This window comes from Homo sapiens, chromosome 3 (genome assembly GCF_000001405.40).
Source record: "Homo sapiens chromosome 3, GRCh38.p14 Primary Assembly".
Taxonomy (NCBI): Eukaryota; Metazoa; Chordata; class Mammalia; order Primates; family Hominidae; genus Homo; species Homo sapiens.
This window is the reverse complement of record NC_000003.12, coordinates 115,856,936-115,875,667: the sequence shown is the minus strand read 5'-3', so window position 1 is coordinate 115,875,667 and position 18,732 is coordinate 115,856,936. Positions and strand designations below refer to the sequence as shown.

The window sequence follows — 18,732 nt, the reverse complement described above, 5'->3', positions numbered from 1 at the left end:
AGCGAGCTTTGCCTGCTCCTTTGACCACAGTCTTTAACCCTGGAAGTGACCCCTCACATGAATATTCAGTCACAATAGCAATAGCTTGTCAAAGAAAAATTATTTGAGATTCATCATTAAGGAGTCATCATTTATTGAGTATCTACTATGTGACAGGCCTAGCACATAGTGATATTTGGGATAATATTGTAATTATTCTGAACCCTTTAGTAATAGGTTTCTATTTATAGAGAGACGGCTACAGTGCAGCAATTTTGATAACCCATCACATTCGTTAAAATAAAATGCAGCAGCCACTTATCAAACCCCTACTTTAATATTTCACTCAATTAAATATTTCGGTACAGCAATGAGTGAGAGCAGGAGGAAAATCTTATTCAGGAAGTGAAGTTAAAGAATATATTTGGGACAAATACATTCAAATGTTAGGTTAAGGTTACTCGCCTCGCTTCTTCTGATGGAAAGGAAAAAGATAACATCTCTTCTGAGGAAAATATTTGGGTAAGGACCTCTAGAATAATTTGTGATTGGGATTGAAAGTAGTAGATAGTTTGTGTTACCTTTTACTCACTATCCAATTCCTAATCTATCTTTTGAATTTGTTATAAAAAGAAATAAAAGAAACGATGTTCTCTCATATGGTTGAGAATTACCTGAGATAATATTGATGTGTGTAGAAAGCCTTAGGTAAATAACAGCTATTTTTATTAAATGTGTCTGTTTAATTTGAGGAAAACGTTCATTCTCTTTTTTTTTTTAAAGTACCTTCTATGTGCTGAAAATTCCTCATTTGAGAAGAAAATACTTCTCCTTTGGATCTCCACTTCAGTGGCTTTTTCTTAGGTGATCCTTCTTAACCTCCCTAACCAAGTGAAAACTCTCTTTTATCCACTCTTTCACTCGAGATATCTTGCCTGCTTCACACTGAATAGAGTTATAACTTAGGCTTAAATAACGTACATACATACATTTAGATGGTAGCTTCATGAAGTTGAAGACAGGCTGGTTTATTCACCACTGTGTCTTCACTCAGCATCTAGTGCAGGGTCTGGCCTGTAATAGGCACTCAATAATATATTTAATTGTATGTATAAATAAATGTACAAGTCAATGAAGCAATGGGGGAATATATAGATAAATGGGCCTGGAGCAGAGACTTTACAAATCTTATGGTATAGCTGGGGAGACAAAATGTATACAAATGATGATAGTACAGCCTGATTTGTGCTACAATCACCGCATGAACAAATTTTTTGAGAGAATAGAGACAAAACAAAACAAGACAAAAACCTAGGGGTTGAGAATAGGGATAGTTTCAAGCAGGGCTTAGGAAGAAGAAGCAGGAGAAGGAAAGATGCTGAGACAGACTTCCTAAAGGAGAGGGCATTGGAGCTGGTTCCCAAAGACTGAGGAGAAGGAACCCAGAAAGAGAAAGGAATGTCTTTTTGGAGGAGGAGAGACAGCATGTGCCGTTTACATTAATCAATCTACGTGCTGAAATCTAAAAGCTCCAACTCTGTTATATCAAACAAAACTGATGTTTTGCAATATTCAGAGGCAATATTCAAGTCTTCATTAGATGTAAATATATAATAAAAACTATGAAAAGGCTCCAAGAGAGAAAGATAAACTTAGAAAAGGGCAGAAGCTCAGAGTGTAATATATTTCTTATTACATAGAGGCTCTGCATCCTGCAAATGGGTAGTAGTCAGTGCCTTCAGAAATGCACCATCATAGACTGATTCCTACGTGGAAGGTCAAATCCTGGGGTGATCTTTAGAGGGAACAAATGGGAAGCAAGCTAGAGGCTCTCCAGCAGGCTAGGACAAGAAAGCTATTAAATATAACTGTGGGCATTTACTTACAGATGTGATACCTGGTAATTTGCATGTATTATCTCTTTTGAACTTCTTAGCAATCTTATAGGTCATCACAACTGATATTATAACCTCGATTTTACAGCAAACTAAATTATAGAGATTTTCTGTAACTTGGTAAAAGTTAGCGGCAAGGTATGAACTCAGGTTCCCCAAATTGAGTTCTAATACTCTATTATACTATACAGGATTAATTATTTTGTAAAACAAAATGAACAGTAAAATAAAATAGAATGACCGGAAAAATTAATTACTAAATAGCTCATATTTTGGAATACTTTCCTCTCCTTTTTTCTCTTATTTTCTAGATTTGCTCTGTCTTATGCCATAGATCTCCTTTTAGCCTAGTCCTTTCTCTGAAACAGAATTTCTGCCCTAGTCTAAAAAAGCATAGACTTTTTTTTTTTTTTTTCAGAGCCTCACTCTGTCATCCAGGCTGGAGTGCAGTGGTGTGATCTTAGCTCACTGCAACTTCCACCTCCCAGGTTCAAATGACTCCCCTGCCTTAACCTCCCAAGTTAGCCTCCTGAGTAGCTGGGATTACAGGTACATGCTACCAGTCCCAGTTAATTTTTGTATTTTTGGTAGAGACAGCGTTTCGTCATGTTGGCCAGGCTGGTCTTGAACTCCTGACCTCAGATGATCATCCTGCCTTGGCCTCCCAAAGTGCTGGGATTACAGGTGTGAGCCACTGTGCCCAGCCTGAATTTAAATCTTGATTCCACTAATTTGTAGCTTTATATTTGTGAAAAACTAATTCGGATCTCTGTCTCAACCACATTTATGAATGGGAATGTTTACATATATGTATATATGTGTATGTATGTATCATATATGTTTCATACATATGTTATACTTCCTTAATTAAACTAGTATTAGCATGTGTCACGTTGCTTAGCACATGCCTAGTTCATAATAAATTCTCAGTAAATATTTATTTGGTGAATGAGTATTAGTTCTCTTCTCCTTTCCCACTACCTGTGTGATCTTAGACCAGATACTTAACAGCTATGAGCCTCAGCTACCTCATTTGTTCAGGGATTAAATATTTGTACTACAGAGTTTTCAAAATGGTTAAATAATATAATTCACGTGAGAATTCTTAGCACATAGTTTTCACTAAATAAATACTTACGTTCTTTCCTCTTTGTTTCTGTATTTTTATTCTGCATACCATTTAAACACTTCTTTCCATTCTTCCATTCTCGGGAGGCTCAATTCTTTTTTCTTTCCCATCTCCTATCGGCCTCCTGCTGTCGGCATTCATACCCCTCCTCTTTTCTAGACTTCTACCTGCTATTTTCTCCTGCACTCTCTTCTGTAGTTTTCCCTCTTGATCCCCTTCTGCCTTTCCTCTTGCCTTTGCTAATTCTTTGAGCTCTATAGTAAGGTGCAGGTGATGCCGCAGGGTGGCACATGGGGCAGCCAAACCTGCCCAGAGGACTCTTGAAGTAGTTATAACAACTAAAGGATAAGTGATTTAGATATCTTTGATTTAGGAGAATGGAGGCAAGAAAATATATTTAACAGTAGAAATGCTGTTGATCCATAACCTTTCCCATTAGCATACACACACATGCCCACCCAAGAGTTATGCATTTTATCACTTCTTCACCCATTCTTGTGGGTCCTTTTATCTTTATCTTTAATACTAATTCACTCATTTTCAGAGCATCAAAAATAACTGGGCCCATAAATCAACAGAAATCTAAGAAGAGAGAAAAAGGAGATAAAAAGGGAAATGCTGAGATGTAAATGACAACTAGACATGAATATTTTAATTCTCTGAGAATCAGCACCCTCTTAACTATACCAGCTGAATTGTACACTTGTTCTAAGCTGTTTGCAACTCTTTCTTCTTTCCCACAAGGCCCTCTGCTACAGAGTGTAGGAATATTTTTGAGTCCAGTTGGTGATCACTTTATATCCTGAGGCAAAAGGATTGCTGGTGTGTGCTATACTTTTTCTAGCTTGTATAACTCAGATGGTATTCCTGCTTTGCTCATTTGCATGGAGGTTTAGTTCTTCCTAGAGTCTTACAAAGCTTCAAAAGTAACCAAGGAAAGTCTAGCAATAGGGAACCCTCAGGTTAGAAAAAAATGTCAACGAGTAGGAGGTTGAAGCCCTCTATCTCTCTGCCTCTCTCTCTTTGTCTCTCTGTCTGTCTCTCTTACACACACACACACACACACACACACACACACACACTACACGTTGGTTTTCTTTAGGTAGCTTTGTTCTTTGTACACTGAAACAATTTAAACAGGGGTATCATATCTTTGTATCTTTCATTTCAGCACTGCACTGCTAATATTTTTTTCCTCTGACTCTGCCTTTCCTGAGGCCTTCAAGGGCCTCTGAAACCTTCAATGGTAAGGTTGATTTCCCAGGAATACACCTGTCTAAGGATGATTGTCTTCTGATTCCCTGTAGCCATTTTTTTTTCTGTCTCTGCTGAATAAACTTAGTCTTGAGTCTTGACCCTGGGTAAAGAGCACAGTTTAAAAGAAGGGAGAAAAATGAGTATCTCTGTGTTTCAGGTTTAAACTGCATGGCCATTCTAGGCTGCCAATCCCTATGAGAATGCAATGCCATTTTCTCTATGGTCTATCAATTTTAAGAACTCCCAGGCAGCATAAAATGAGAAAGAGATTTACTGTGAATTTGGAATAATACTATTCTCAGAGGAAAATCTTTTCAACTATTGCAAATATAATTTCTAGTTCCGTAATTTGAAAGCTCCATGGCTGATTCCTATGTATTTCTTTCCCATCTTCTTGTTGGGAGCTTGCCTGTGATTTCATGTAATGAGTTTTCTCTTCTGTGGGAAGCGAAAACACTGTGCACCTTACAGGTTTGTGATCACCATCTCCCCAGCAAGCAAAAGAAATGCCTGGGGCCTTTTTAGGTTTTTTAGAAAGAAACAAGTATAAGGCTGTTAGTCTGATTCTAAACTTTTACTGCATCTCTCCTGGGAACAACTCCACAGCTAATGCAGCAATCTCTTCCCTAGAAAGTCTCAGGATACATGCTGAAATAGTTCAGTTCATACCAGCAGCTGGAGTGTTTAAAGCTTTCTTTACAGCATGGCTAGTTTGTTGAGGCCAGAGCAAAGGAACCAGTGAGTTGGGCCACCTTGGTGAAGCTTTTGCAGTGAGTGTGTACATCAAAATCACCACCAGAGTGTTAAAATGCAGATTCCTGGGGCTTGCCCTAGACATAATGGATTAGAACTTTTGGAGGTAAGCCTGAGAATCTTCCTTTTCAAGGAGTTCCCTAGGTGATTTTTCTTACTTTGGGAGCCACAGCCCTAGAAAAATATTTAGGAAGAGCTAAAAATGTAAATGTACTGACAGGTACTGATATTGTAATTATTTGAAAATAATTTATTGGAGCCTAGGTCATAGAATGTTACTTCTGAAATATACTTTTGTTCTCATCTACTATATTCCCCAACTTAAAAAAATGGGAAGCACAACAGCCCAATCAAAAATACACTTCTTCAGACTTGCATGTTAGAGCTTGTTCCTCTACACCATGGGTTAACAAACTTTTCCATGAAAAACAAGGTAGTAAATATGTTAAGCTTTGTGGGCCATAGGGTCTCTGTTGCAATTAAATTCTGTCATTGTAACTGAAAGCAGCCATAGACAATATAAAAATGCATAGGCATGGCTGTGTCCAAGTAAAACTTTATTTATAAATACTGAAATTTAAATTTTATATAATTTTTATGTGTCAAAAAATATTATTTTAATTTTTTAACTTTAAAAATGCAAAATTCACTCTTAGCTATGAGCTATACAAAATCACTCAGATCAAATTTGGCTCATGGGACATAGCTTGCCAAGCCCTGCTCTATAATGCTCCTGGTTCCCAAATTTGGGAAAAAATAAACAACAATCTCAGGAAATAATTTTATGTATACACATATATATAAGGATATACATATCCTTATAAATGTCTGTGCCTAGCACTACAGGATTTTTGTTCGGAAAAGACGTATGCATTTAATCTACAATCTAACATTTTACAAGTGATTCACCAGACATAGAAAATGTTTCTCAAAGTCTAAGAGGTAAAGACTCTTGAAAATGATTATAACAGAAAGAGAATGAGAGATTTAAAAGAAATTAATATTTAGTGAGTACCTACTGTGTCTGGGCACTGTTCATCATATTCAAAAGTAAAGTACTAGAACATCTGCAAGTAATGAATATTAATGGTAAGAGCAAATTTAATTTATTACTAATTAATTGTTATCAATATAATGATAGTTTCCCAGATAGTGGCATCTTCTTTGCTTTTTAGTATTGTCTAACTATGCCTTGTTTTATCTCCCCAGCCTAGTGCTGGACATATAACAGTTGTCAAGTTAAATTATGTATTATGTTTTTTACTCCAAATTGCTGGTACTCATCAAGTAGAGATTTCAAAGGGAGAGCCATTCTTTTTGTATTTGTAGGCAGTCTCTCTCTCTCAGTCAGTCTCTCTCTCTCTCTCTCTCTCTCTCTCTCTCTCCCCCTCCAAGATAGAGGTTATGAAGGGAACCAAGAGATGTCAAATGATCTCCTGACCTAATCTGGCTTTTTGTTTATGGCTATCAAAGTTTGAACAATTGTCAGTTGGTCTATGCAGCAGTCATATTCTTTACTATACTTCTGAATTTTTTATTTTAGCGTAACCATTGAGCATAGTTGCATTGATTTCTCTTCCTGGAAATGAGTTAAATGGTTTTCAAACTGTGTGCTAGAAAACACTCATATTCTAGAAACTGAGCTTAACAGCTTTGTCACTAGGATAAAATATGGGTTTTTTTTCCTGATTTATAAAAGACAAATATTACTGAGTAGAATTGTGTGTATTGAAGTTTACCATAAAATATTCTTAGTTTTTTTACTGTCTGCACCATTTTTCTCAATTAAAATCTAACAATCTAATGTAAAAAAGCACAATCAAATATTTTCTTCTTGTATTTGGACCTACCACTTGAACAATTTTGAGAATCTGTCCTGGATTGTATTTTGGAAAAGTTAGTATCTTTTCTAGAAAAAGAAGATTAAATCTTTATGGTTTTGATTAAATTACATTAGAGCTTTCCTTCAACCTCATTTTAAATATGTGTCAACCTCATTTTAAATATGTGTATTTAAAATGAGTTAATTAAGTTTCATATCTTCAACTCTTTAGTGAAAAATATATTTATGCTCGTTTAGGGGAAAATTCCATGTTCCTGAAAATCCAAGTTCAGTCAGGTACCATTCTCTAACTGGCTCTAAATGTGTTCCACCCATCCCACATACACACACATACCTCTGTTTTCTTCCAAATACTTCTCATCCTTAAGTTGCTTTATAATATTCCTGTTTTGACAACTTGATGGAGAGAGGGATAGATTTCTCAATGGCTAGTGCTTGGATTCAGGGAGTGGGAGGTCAGACACATGACTGTTTTGGAATTGTGTCTTCTGATTAGTGTGGATCCAACCTTGCCATCCTCTAACCAATGGCTAACTAGTCCCATCACAGCACATGAAGTTTAATACGTAGCCAGCACCCCATTTCCCATGCCAATGGCCCACAGCTCTTTCTGTGATAGCATTCAACAGTTCTCCAGGTAGACAGGACACTAGCTATGAGTTGAATGTAGGAGCTAAATTTTCCATTATCCCTGATGTGCAGAAGATGCCTTGATAATCTGCCCAAGCCTAAATCTAAAGCCCTTAGACCAACTGTAACTATATTAGGACTAGGAATATTGGTTAGAAACAAGTAAACAAACATATTTTGGACCTCCAGTCCTTTAAAGAGGACAAAAGCTTATCACTGTATTGTCAGGAATGAAAACTCCCGTTTTGTGAATTGTAAGTTTTCCTCACTCAGCTGCCTTTGCAATCACATGCTCATCTATTTACTTACTCTCAGATATGTAGAGTGCCAGGAGAGCACTTCTTAGAATGATTATTATATGTCATATCAAAACGAAGTCTCTTAGCAAATAGACTTTAGACTCAACCAACCAAAACAAATCTCTCTGTTTGCCCTGACCACCAACAAAACTGATTTCTTTTCTGGAGGCATCTGTGAGATTACTTTAGGCTCTTGCAATTCTGGTGGCATTTTCTTCCTGCTCTTCTTCTTCCCCGTGGTTTGGCTGGCTTGATTTCTTCTGTGATTTTCCTGTGTCCCACCCTATTACTTTCTTGTTTGCTCAGGGCTTCTCCCTCATGTTTTTCTGCTTTCACATCTTTTCCTGTGTCTCCTCTGCCCCTCAGCACAGCGGGTCAGATAATGTTCCCTGAGAGCCACTGCTAAGTTTGCCTTCGGGTAAAGCCATCTGTCAAAAGGGGAGGATTTGTGGGGCTTAACTTTTTCATCTTGAAATTGTGAAGTTTTTCCCACTAGAAAATTAAAATTGCATCAGTATATGATATGTTGAGCTATTGATACAATAAGGTTTACCCTTCCAGAAACCGACAGTATTTTAGATTAGTATAGAAGGTTGGGAAGGCTGAAGAGATTTGAAAGCCTAGGAATTTATTGAAAATATTCCAAGGCCTCCTGCTCATAACTTACCCAATTATCTTCTGAAAAACTGAGCATTAATGTGCTTATCAATATTTGGATTCAACAAGTTTAAAAGACCACCAAGACTTATATGTTAGTGAGAATGATTTTCTGTCTCAGTGTTTGCTACTCAATTCCTAGCTACCCCAAACAGTTAGATACACTAAGCCAGCATTGTGTAAAATGAATTTATGACCCCCCTCTTCCCCTAGCAGCATCCTCTTCTTTCATTCCAGTCTTTTTCCAGTTCCACAGAACCTATTCCCACAAGTACCCATTCTGCTTGCCTGCAGGCTGTGAAATCCCTTAGGTGTTAATTGAGAATTAAGACGTTAGCTGATAAAAGGTATAACCACTTGCATTAATATTTGCATTGCAAAAGGAGTCTTAATGGGAAAATAATTAAGCTTTAAAGTTTGATATCTTTGAGGTAATTTATCCTGCTTGGCAACCTGTCAATTCTGCTCACTTTACATCAGCTTCCCTTTACTGCACCTCAGGTTGGCCACATGTCATTTGAATGTAACTTTGCAAACCAAGACTTGAGTGTGGGGTAAGAGAGCTCAGAATTCTTCATAGCATGATGCAAAGAAACTTTACATTTCTCATCTATTTACAGATTAACTTACTCTTAATGATCTTCCAACACTTGAGAAGGTCAGTAGCCCTCCATCTGTCATTCTCCAAGTTCACCAACAGCTTATCCACCCATCAAAGGTGCTTTTGTAACAAAATCCATGCATAATGAAACCAAGAAAGGTAACGTACATTTTCTTATTCAACTTTGGGTGTAAATGACCTATTCTCAGTGATTTTTACAGTAAGGAAATCTAGTGATTATACCAGGCAACACTGAGAACTGTAGGATGGAGAGGAAAGAAAAGGGTAACCCACAATTGGGAGTTGAGATCCAGGCTTTTTTGGAGTTCCAGGTAGGCCAGAAAGCAGTCAGCATTGGCTTTTGTCATGAATCTAGTGTCTAGAACTGGTAGGCAAATGAGGATCAATCTCAGGAACAGAGCTGAGACTTTACAAATATGATATGATTGATTAAAACACCAGAGTCACACAGGCATCTTAGCTCTGCCATTTACTATCTGTGTAATGTTGGGAAAGTTCCTTAACTTTTCTAAACTTCACTTCCTTCATTGGTTAACAAGAGACACAGAGAGAGAAAAGAAGAAGCCTATATAGATAAACTAGAAGATGTAAAAAATCCATGTGACACGAAGTGCTACCCAACAAATGGAGACTGAATTGTTAGTTCAGAAATGGGAATTGAGCTCAAGGCAGAATGTTGATTCTCCTCATAATTTAACTTGTCTCCTTCAGTCTTTCCTGATCTAAATACTGGATTGATCCCTGATCCCGGGTCAAGATGGCTTCTGTGTCTGGGGTTAACCTAACTCCCTTAAGAAAAGAAAAGGTATATGTTTCTGAATGCCAAACTAGTAAGATCAGAAGGATGCTTACCAAATGTAGGTGTTCTGGAGTATCACCTGGTAGGTTTTATAAACTAATGGATTCCTGAGCCTCATCCCAGGAAATTCTGATTCAGTAAGTCTGTGAAAGAGCCCAGTGATCTGCATGTATTAGCAGTTTCCAGTGTGATTATTATATAGGTGGTCCATGGATCACAGTTTGAGAAACACCTGTACAGATGCTGATCAGAATTTGAGATAAGCTGATCACATCTGGATACTATATCTGTGTAATTTTTTAAAGTGAAAGCAAAAGGGAAAATAAATAGATTCACATAGCTTCTTTTTTATTTCAAAATAGTAGCAAGAGTTGAAAAAGACATCTACAGAGACTTATTTTCTGGAAACTAAAGAATCCTTTTATAAAGGGTATTGAGTAATATGTTAGACAATATGTTTGACTGAAATTTATGAAATGCATAGAAAATGTGTTCAAAGGGGTAATTTTTAAATAGTCTTTAGAGAAACGTCCATGGTCTCACTTCAGTGAAGCCATTTCTAGGAAGTACTGAAATAATTATGGTCAAAATGGTCTGCTTTCTAAATATGTGATTCTTGGACAGAATCCAAAGACTTGAATAAACTGATAGTAGCATACCAAATAGATATGCCTTGCAATTATTAAGTGTCTTAAGCATTTGATAGGTTGTACATTGACATCCATTAGCAAATTATCTCTGGACAGTTATTCTGAGTGGTTGCAATGAGATCTTATGTGATAGGTACAGGAGGCGAGGGGGTCAATCTTCTGGTCAACTACCAAGAATAAGATGAAATAGCTTCAGCACAGGGCTAAGACATTGCATAATAATGTATTTCTCTCATATAAACAAATGATTGAGTACATTTAAGTGCTTGTTTGAGATCCTAAGTTCTGTGCTATTTATATTAGAAAAATACTGCACAGCCTGACCGTTTGTATGGCAGGTATTAGTTAGCTCTCTCTATCCATGAAAATTCTCCATGTACACTCTATTAATCATACACTTTCATGAAAATCATTTTGCGGTTCACACTGTTTAGGCTGGGAGGGTTAGGAGGTGGTGCGAGGACACTAGGGAACTTAGAAGTTCCCCACGAGAAAGGAAGATAAGCTGAGTGTTTCCTGGGCTGAGGGAGTTTAGAAGACTTGAGCTAGAACAAAGGATGAGTTCTTTCTACCTCCACCTCAGAACTTTTCCCCTTTCCTGTAAGATTTATAGTTCATATCATTAGGGAAACTCAGGTTGGGCTTGTTCTCAGAATACGCAGATCCAAAGGGATAATACCAAAGCACAGAGATTTCTAGGGAATGATGCTGCACCAATGTGAGCAGGCTATTAGTCAGCTATAAAATACAGCAAGAAGGGTCCAGCCCTGTAGGAAAAGTGATGGTGACAACTAAATGATGGGTCAAGTTTATAATTTAGCTCAACTTTAGTCCCAGCTGGGAACTGGAGTGCAATCTGACTGCCAGTAACAAGGATCAAAGAGCAATCAGGCAACGTGCCATGGAGTGGAGAATAGTGAGGAAAATTCATTTGAGTGCACATACAGCTACCTGTCACCTTCAGAGTCAGCACTCTTAAGTCCAGACACCTCTCAATCATGGGCAAAGTGCTTCTAACAATTGGCCAGGCTCAAGTCTCACTGCTTTGGGGGCCAAGTGGACTGGACCTGTGGTTACAATTCTTTAATAGCCACAGTTGAACAGTACAGGAGGTAGGTTACAACACACAATGCCCATGGATAGTCATGAAAACTTTTTGTCCACCTAATTAGAAAATTGTTCTGATTTTATATAATATCAACTTGCTTATTACTATGCCTCCTGTCATTTGGAATTGGTGTCTAATTTTCCTAATCATTCTTTTTCCCTTATGCCAGAAATAGAAAAATCGTAGAGATTTTCTTTTTCATTCTGAGAAACCTGCCCTTAGGATACAGCCAGAAGAATAGGTATGTCTTTCACTGACACTGCAATTATTAAATTCAGTTTTCTTTGAAAATATTGCATTATAAAGGTAATATATATATAATCTATGTCAGAAATTCAAGCAGGATAGGAAGGCATCAAATGAAGAGAAGTTCCCTAACCGCACACTTCTGGGCCTCCTGATCCCATAACCCAGAAGTAAGATTGTTAACATTATGTAAACATTTATTTATATATATATACAATATATATGTATATGCAAATGTGTTGTATATGAATAACACATATACAACACATTTTTATCCTTTATTTGAATCCCATTGTTTAGAAGGAATCTCCATTTGAATGTCCTTTAAGCATTCCAATTCAATAGATAAAAAAACTCAATTATTACCCTCCCACCCCTCCACCACCACCCATAAAAATATCATCCAGTACACAGATCAATCAAACCAAAAACCTTGGGGTCATCCCTCTCCCTCACTTGCCATTTTAATTAGAGGTGAGTGTGTGAAAGTAGCACTCTCCCTCTGAGGTCCACCCCTCAGGGTAAGAGAGTCTTGTGGACTTTCTTTATTTCAACCATTTAAACCTCTGAGGTGGCCTTTTCTTCTCCCTTTGTTTTTATTTAAAAAGGAGTGCAGGAAACATCCTCATGCAGCGCTTTTTAAATGAAGTGACTTGTCAAGTTCGAGACTATAGCAGTAATCTGAAAGGCAGTAAATTTAGTGACCCTCACTTGCACTGACAGCCTGTCAAGCACTTGAAACATAAATAGCAGTGGAGACAAATCGCTGCTGTTTTCCTATTAAGCTTTGGCCCACTGGCCTCATAGCCTTCTAGGAGCGCATGGGCCCAGCCTGGGAGAGGGACTGCTTTCAAGAACAGGCAAGTGCTCTCTTCTTTTCTCTCCCACGCCACCTCTACCTGCGCTCCTGACACTGCAGCTGGGACCCCCACTCCCACTGTGATCCATCTGCTTTACAGAAAGGCTAAAAATCCTGAGCCCAGATTGAGGGGTGCTGGTAAGCAGAGGCCTGCAACCTAGAATGAATGTTGATGGAGTAATTTTTAGCTTGTACCTTTAGGTCAAAATGAAGAAGCCAATGGCTGGACCCTTTAATTTGTTTTGACCCCTGAGCTACCCACCTTATGTTGAATGGAAACATTCCAAGAACATCACTTTAATTCATACTTAAACCTTTTCCTCTTCTGCCCTGCTCCCACTCCTTACCATTCTTTTCTCTTCATTACTTATGTATTGACTTTAAGCAAGAACAGTTCTCCAAATTGGATCAAATAACTCATTCAGCACTGGGCCTAGCTGAAGAAGTAGATCTGGGATTTTAGGGTGAACCTATATGAGGTCATTGCAACATCAGGTTCTGTTAAGAAAGGGTGAAGGGCTAGACGGGGTTATTGTCTGCTTTGTTTTAATTACATTTCAAAGGCTTCTGTGGCAGCTTCAAAACTCTGCCTAGCAATCCTTCCATAGTGCAATCACCCTGCTGAGTTTAACACATTCACTTACTAAATGCCAATTGATTTATGTGACTCTTAAAAACAGCAACTGCTGCTCTCATCTCTCTTGATATTTAATCCTGAGCCATGGCAGAGTTGCTAATAACAGGTCTGGTAATACCCCCACAGTTCTGATGACAATGGTGAGTGATCTTGTTTGTTACTGACTCTGTCCAGCAATTCTAATATTTGTCCCTGCCAAACAACCCCCTGCCCCCAGGTTTTAAGAAAAAGTCTAAAAAACAATTAACATCTGCAGGAATCTTTACTTCTATTTTATTCCCAAAGGACTCTTTTAAGTATATGGGGCTTTTTCAATCCTTTGTTTTCAGTTTTGCTCTTCTTCCCCGCACCCGAGGTCATAAAAATGAAGTAGGAGAATGGGTGCTGGCTTTAGGAGCTACATCCTACAAATGTTCTGCAGTCCCTGCTCCAGTGATTTGAATTACAACTCGTGTAGATTACAAATTTAAATCCACAGTTAGCTAAAATCTCTTACCAACCCCATATTTCCAAGTACCTATAGAATATACTCCACAGTATGTCCCAGGAAAACCTAATACCAACCATATTAGAATGGAACTCATTATCTTCACTCCAAAATAAGTACCCCCTCCTAATTCGCCAAGTGATTCCACCTGCATTCACACTTAGGAAGTCATTAGCTTCCAACCTACACACTGCATTTAGAATACATTTCTTCATACCTGAGAAAACCAAGTGGACTACAGGAAATTCAGGGCAGGTGAGGGTCTGTGTACAGGGTCCACATTCCTTCTCCTACCGCCAGGGGGACAGTGCCACTCTCTCTCATTGAGCCCAGACACCGCCTCAGAATCCTTCTCAACATCATTCCCCAGGCAGCCACCGTCAGTTAAACAAGGTTGATCACAATTTTTTGAAATCTTTGAAGAGCCCATCTCCACTTTCACAGTAATTCACAGGAAGGCTCATCAAAATACACGTTAGTACTCAGTGTCAAGAAACAGGCACTGAGAGTAAATAGTGTTGGTGTATAAAGGACTTTAAACAAATAGAATTTTCATACGATTTTATGCTTACACATCATGTTTCCTATATGGTGTGTAGGGAGGAAGGAAAGGAAGGAAGGAAGGAAGGAAGGAAGGAAGGAAGGAAGGAAGGAAGGAAGGAAGGAAGGAAGGAAGGAAGGAAGGAAAGAAAGAAGGAAGGAGGGAGGGGAGGAAAGAGGGAGAGAGGGAGGGGAGGAAAGAGGGAGAGAGGGAGGGAGGGAGGGGAGGAGGGGAGGAAAAAAGGAAGAAAACAAATTACAAAATAATGCCATTGTACTCAGTACCCTGTGGGTGCTGGCAGGCTTAAAGGAGATGTAGTGGTACCTCACATAGCAAATCCAGAGTCCTCAAACCACCCGTCACATCCCAGTGCATGTCCTCACACATCACCATCCTCATTTTTCCTGCTCGGAGACTTCTAGATTGCCACACCCTTTTGCAATTTGCCAGCCCTAATTTTTTCTCCACTTGCATTTCTTAAGTTCCTGAAAACTTATTTCTCCCAGAAATCTTCTCTAGTACTAAGTCTACTCTACACTGTCTCTGTAGCTCCTTTGCTGGTTGCTGGCATTTTTGTGTACCAATAGGTTTTTATTGCTAATGGAGGGACTCCTAAAAATAAATGGTTAAGAGGCTAAATTTTTAAAGATCAACTTTTTTCCCCTCATTTATTGGTTCATTTGATCTTTTCAATAAGGAAGTTAAGTGAAGTGGACAAACCTCATAAAAGATGAAGCCTGTCTTTTTACCTTCTTTATCAGTAATTGAGCTGCATTGCTTTGGAAATTTCTCACATGTCTTATTCTCAATCTCCCACTCTATACTTGAAAGAAAGAAATAAAGCAGATTCTGAGAGCTAAGAATCCAGCCAACTGTAGCATCCTTCAGCATTCTAATGATAAAAGTAGGCATGCTTAGTTCGGAACATGAGTCCCAAACGTCCACAGACCTGGGTCAAAGCTCATGTCTTCCTTACTAACATTATAAGCTTGGGCAAGTTTCTTGACCACTCTAAACCTGTGTTCCTATGTGTTACACATCTGTAAGCAATCTTAAAACTATCGTGAATTAAATAAGATAATATATCTGGGTCACTTAGCACAGTGCCTAGCAAGTGTTTATTAAGAGGTAGCTCATACAACACTCACTCTACAATATTTCTTAAACTTTTAATAGGTTCCGACATTGTGCTACACACTAGGGAAGGGATACAGTGATGATCAAAACCAAATGTGGTTTTTACAGTGGTAAAGCCTTACAATGTAACCATAGCTATTCTCAGTACAATCCCCTTCAGAGAACTAAATATAGGGGATTCTGACTTCAAGCATCACATTTAGAAGGGCAGGGCAGTTTCTAAAAACTGACACCAAGTAGGGGGTAATGGTTTAGTATAAATACAATAAAAGAATGTCATGGCCCAGGACTGAAAAAAGGATGCATGCATGGCAGCCTCAGGCTGGAAACTCAGCTCAAACTATTTCAGCTGGCTTATTTTTTATATGTGAAAGCAAAAATGCAAATCATAATGAATTGGATCTCTCTGGATGCCAGGAAGAATAATCCCAGGATGTTCTTTTTCATTTGGCCCATGCTCATTCATAGAGCCAAAGCCAGTTGTGAATCTTCCCTGGCATTGTTCTTGTCACTGGTTTCTGGGTACTAACTACATCCTTTGGGGTTGCAGAAGGCATGGGGCCAATTTGCATAATCCACCCCCTGTTGTGTCTTATTATTCAAATAGGGAACATTTCTATAGCAGAGTAACCCACCCCTTCCCTTGCATGCAGCTCAAATGTCTAAACAGTCATATGCCTCTTTCTTCAGAAAACTCTCTCTCCTTTCATTTCCATTCCTCCAACTCTTCCCTAAAATCGTTCTCATTATATCACATCTCTCCGTTTTTGTTTTTGTTTTTGTTTTCTTCATCCCCTTCAATACCTTGTTCTTCCCTGTGTCTCCTTATCCTCCTGTGGTTGTTGCTTTTGACGACTGCATCTACCCCTTCCCTGCCTTCTTTCAATCAGGGATCATTTTACCACTCTTCACCCCTCCCTTCCAGTGGTGAAAAGTGAGGATGAGAAGTGGTTTCAGCCTTTGGACAGCAACATTGTCAAACACTAAGGGGTCTCTCAGGTGGAATGTGAAGCGGAGAAGCAAAAACCTCAAATAATCTGGAGAGACACATGGCTGGAAATACAAACAGAACCCTACTGCAGGCATCTTTTCTAGATTTCTTGTGTTTCTTTCTCTCTTCCTTTCCTTAGCATTTTTGTGTAGAACGTGATGTGCAGGAAAGCAGGGAAGAAAGCAAAAACAGGAATAGGTGAGAGCATGTCCTTAGGGGAAAACAAAAGCAAAACATGAAACATACTGTAAGAACAGAAACATGGTACAGCATTTGAAGTTCTCACAGGAAACTTCAAATGGCATCACTGATTCGTGATCTTTTTTCCTTTAATTTTCTTAGGTAGAAGTTCATAGCTTGCTTTTCTTGCTTACTTACTTCACTCACATTTCCAATCACAGACCCACACAAACACAAATATACACACATATACACCTTGCAAGATAAATTCTAGTTCTTTGCTTTTCATTAAACTGTATGTATGTTTGTGTTTATAGCTAGTGTGTTTACAGCCACTTGCATGTAAATATTCAAACGTAGGTGAGTAAAAGGAATAGCAACCCCATTTCAAGCACATCTTCCTATCTGTGAAAGATTGATCTACCGAGATGCTATACTTATAAAAGTCTTCTCAGAACAGTGAAAAAAATGATCCATTCATTTCCTAACATACTTTCCTTGGAATTCTATATTTTTAAAGTCACAAAGTGCTCCAATTTAGCAAGTTTCCTAAATTGTATTCTTTGTATCTCAAATAAAAGGAAAGACAGGTACTATAATGATTATTAGAGCAATAGTCTGTAAAAAAATTTTTAATTCCAAATATGGGGCTGGTTGTCATGTCCTGGGAAGTTTTTGAGGCTAGTCCTGTTCTGCTTAGTGAGCAAATATTTGAGGGTGAGGAAATGTGTGTGCTGCTCACACACATTTAACAGTAAAATCTTATATGTAAATAACTAGCTTTTTGTGGGGTGTGTGTGTGTGAGAGAGAGAGAGAGAGAGAGAGAGAGAGATGGGAGGACGGAAGGAGGGAGAGGGAGGAGAGAAAGAAAGGGAATGAGAGAAAGCAGCACCATGGAAATATATTTAATTTCAAATGGCTCCTTTTTACAAATGCCTGGTTGACCTTATAAATCTAAATCAGTCAACATTTTGCATAGCAACTACAGGGCTCACTAAAGCATGGAACTCCGAAGGCACTGTACTCAGAAGGCAGCACCTGGCATGCTTTAATTGGAGTTATTCCTGGCTGATTTGCCTCCACATTGGGGAACACAGGAGAGAACACTTTTCTCTTGCCATTAGCTCTAGGCCCTTCTTTCTGACTTATGAAGAAATATTAAAAGAACTAATATGTACAACTTGAGTAAACAGTGACTAAGAAGGGATATGCTAATTATGTGCAAGAGTTTAAAAGGTGCATACACTGAGGAGGATGAGAAGTTATTTAGCCTGGTAGCTGAATATTGCCAGGAGACACAAAAACACATTAAGCAAAGGGAGATTTAAACTAAACACTAGATCCCAGAATAAACATAACACTCAGCGATGTGAGCAGGCTTGTGGAAATTGGTTGAGATGTTTAAAATACCAAAATACTGAAATTTGCATTTCAAGTAAACATTTCTGTAAGGGCAAAAAATAATAGATAGGGACAAGAGAAAGACCCAAATTGTGGCCATAGAACTCGTCTACCAGAGAACTTAAACCATAGGTTTTGTGTCCATTTCTGGCCTGAGAGTCTTTTTAAGGTTGAGAGAATAAAAGACATTATTGGTAGGACCCTGGGGTTGAGAGCAGCCAGTCAGAGAGAACTGAAGGAAGTGGAGAAAAGTTGCCCTCTTGGGGACAGGCTCGTGGGGGCAAAGGGAAAGAAAGGAACAGGAGAATCTGAGTGCATTTTAGAATTTTGTGACTCAAGATTCAGCTGGTGTATTCCATGCCTTAAAACAAGAAACGGCACTTGCTAAGATTGTATCGTGCCTGTGTCCACAGGGAGCTCTGTTGGTTTCCAAAACGATAACTCCACATGGCAGATAATTCCTCAGGACATGGCCAGAGATGCCCCTGTGCAGTCCTTCAACAGCAGAGTATGCAGCACACCCTTTCTTCCCCAGTAAAAGAGAACTCTATTAGGGTCATTAAAAGGCAGTGGAGTTTTATGCCAACTTCTCTGACAGAAATACTTAGCCACTTTTCAATACTTAGCTCTA

At 38.5% G+C, this 18,732-nt stretch overlaps 1 protein-coding gene and 2 long non-coding RNA genes across 9 annotated transcripts in view; 1 reads left to right on the top strand and 2 right to left on the bottom strand.

Annotated features, from left to right (window-relative positions):
- LOC124906269 (uncharacterized) overlaps positions 1-18,732 on the bottom strand; it is a 277,601-nt gene that overhangs the window by 193,034 nt on the left and 65,835 nt on the right. The window lies entirely within an intron of this gene.
- The window catches only part of LSAMP (limbic system associated membrane protein), a 643,114-nt gene that overhangs the window by 569,820 nt on the left and 54,562 nt on the right, over positions 1-18,732 (top strand). The window contains exons 1-2 of one of the 7 annotated variants that reach the window (XM_017006384.3): positions 5,145-5,233; positions 9,063-9,202. The exons of 5 other annotated variants lie outside the window; for them this stretch is intronic. In XM_017006384.3, the coding sequence (XP_016861873.1) occupies positions 9,181-9,202 (22 nt within the window). In that variant the 5' untranslated portion in view covers positions 5,145-5,233; positions 9,063-9,180. Of the gene's footprint in view, positions 1-5,144; positions 5,234-9,062; positions 9,203-18,732 lie in introns of those variants that run through there. One more of the 7 variants, XM_024453522.2, reaches the window with a different exon arrangement.
- On the bottom strand, positions 4,324-5,090 carry LOC105374053 (uncharacterized). Its single transcript, XR_924357.3, has 2 exons — positions 4,930-5,090; positions 4,324-4,360 (listed from the first exon to the last, which is right to left on the bottom strand). It is a non-coding gene; the product is annotated as an uncharacterized LOC105374053 (long non-coding RNA).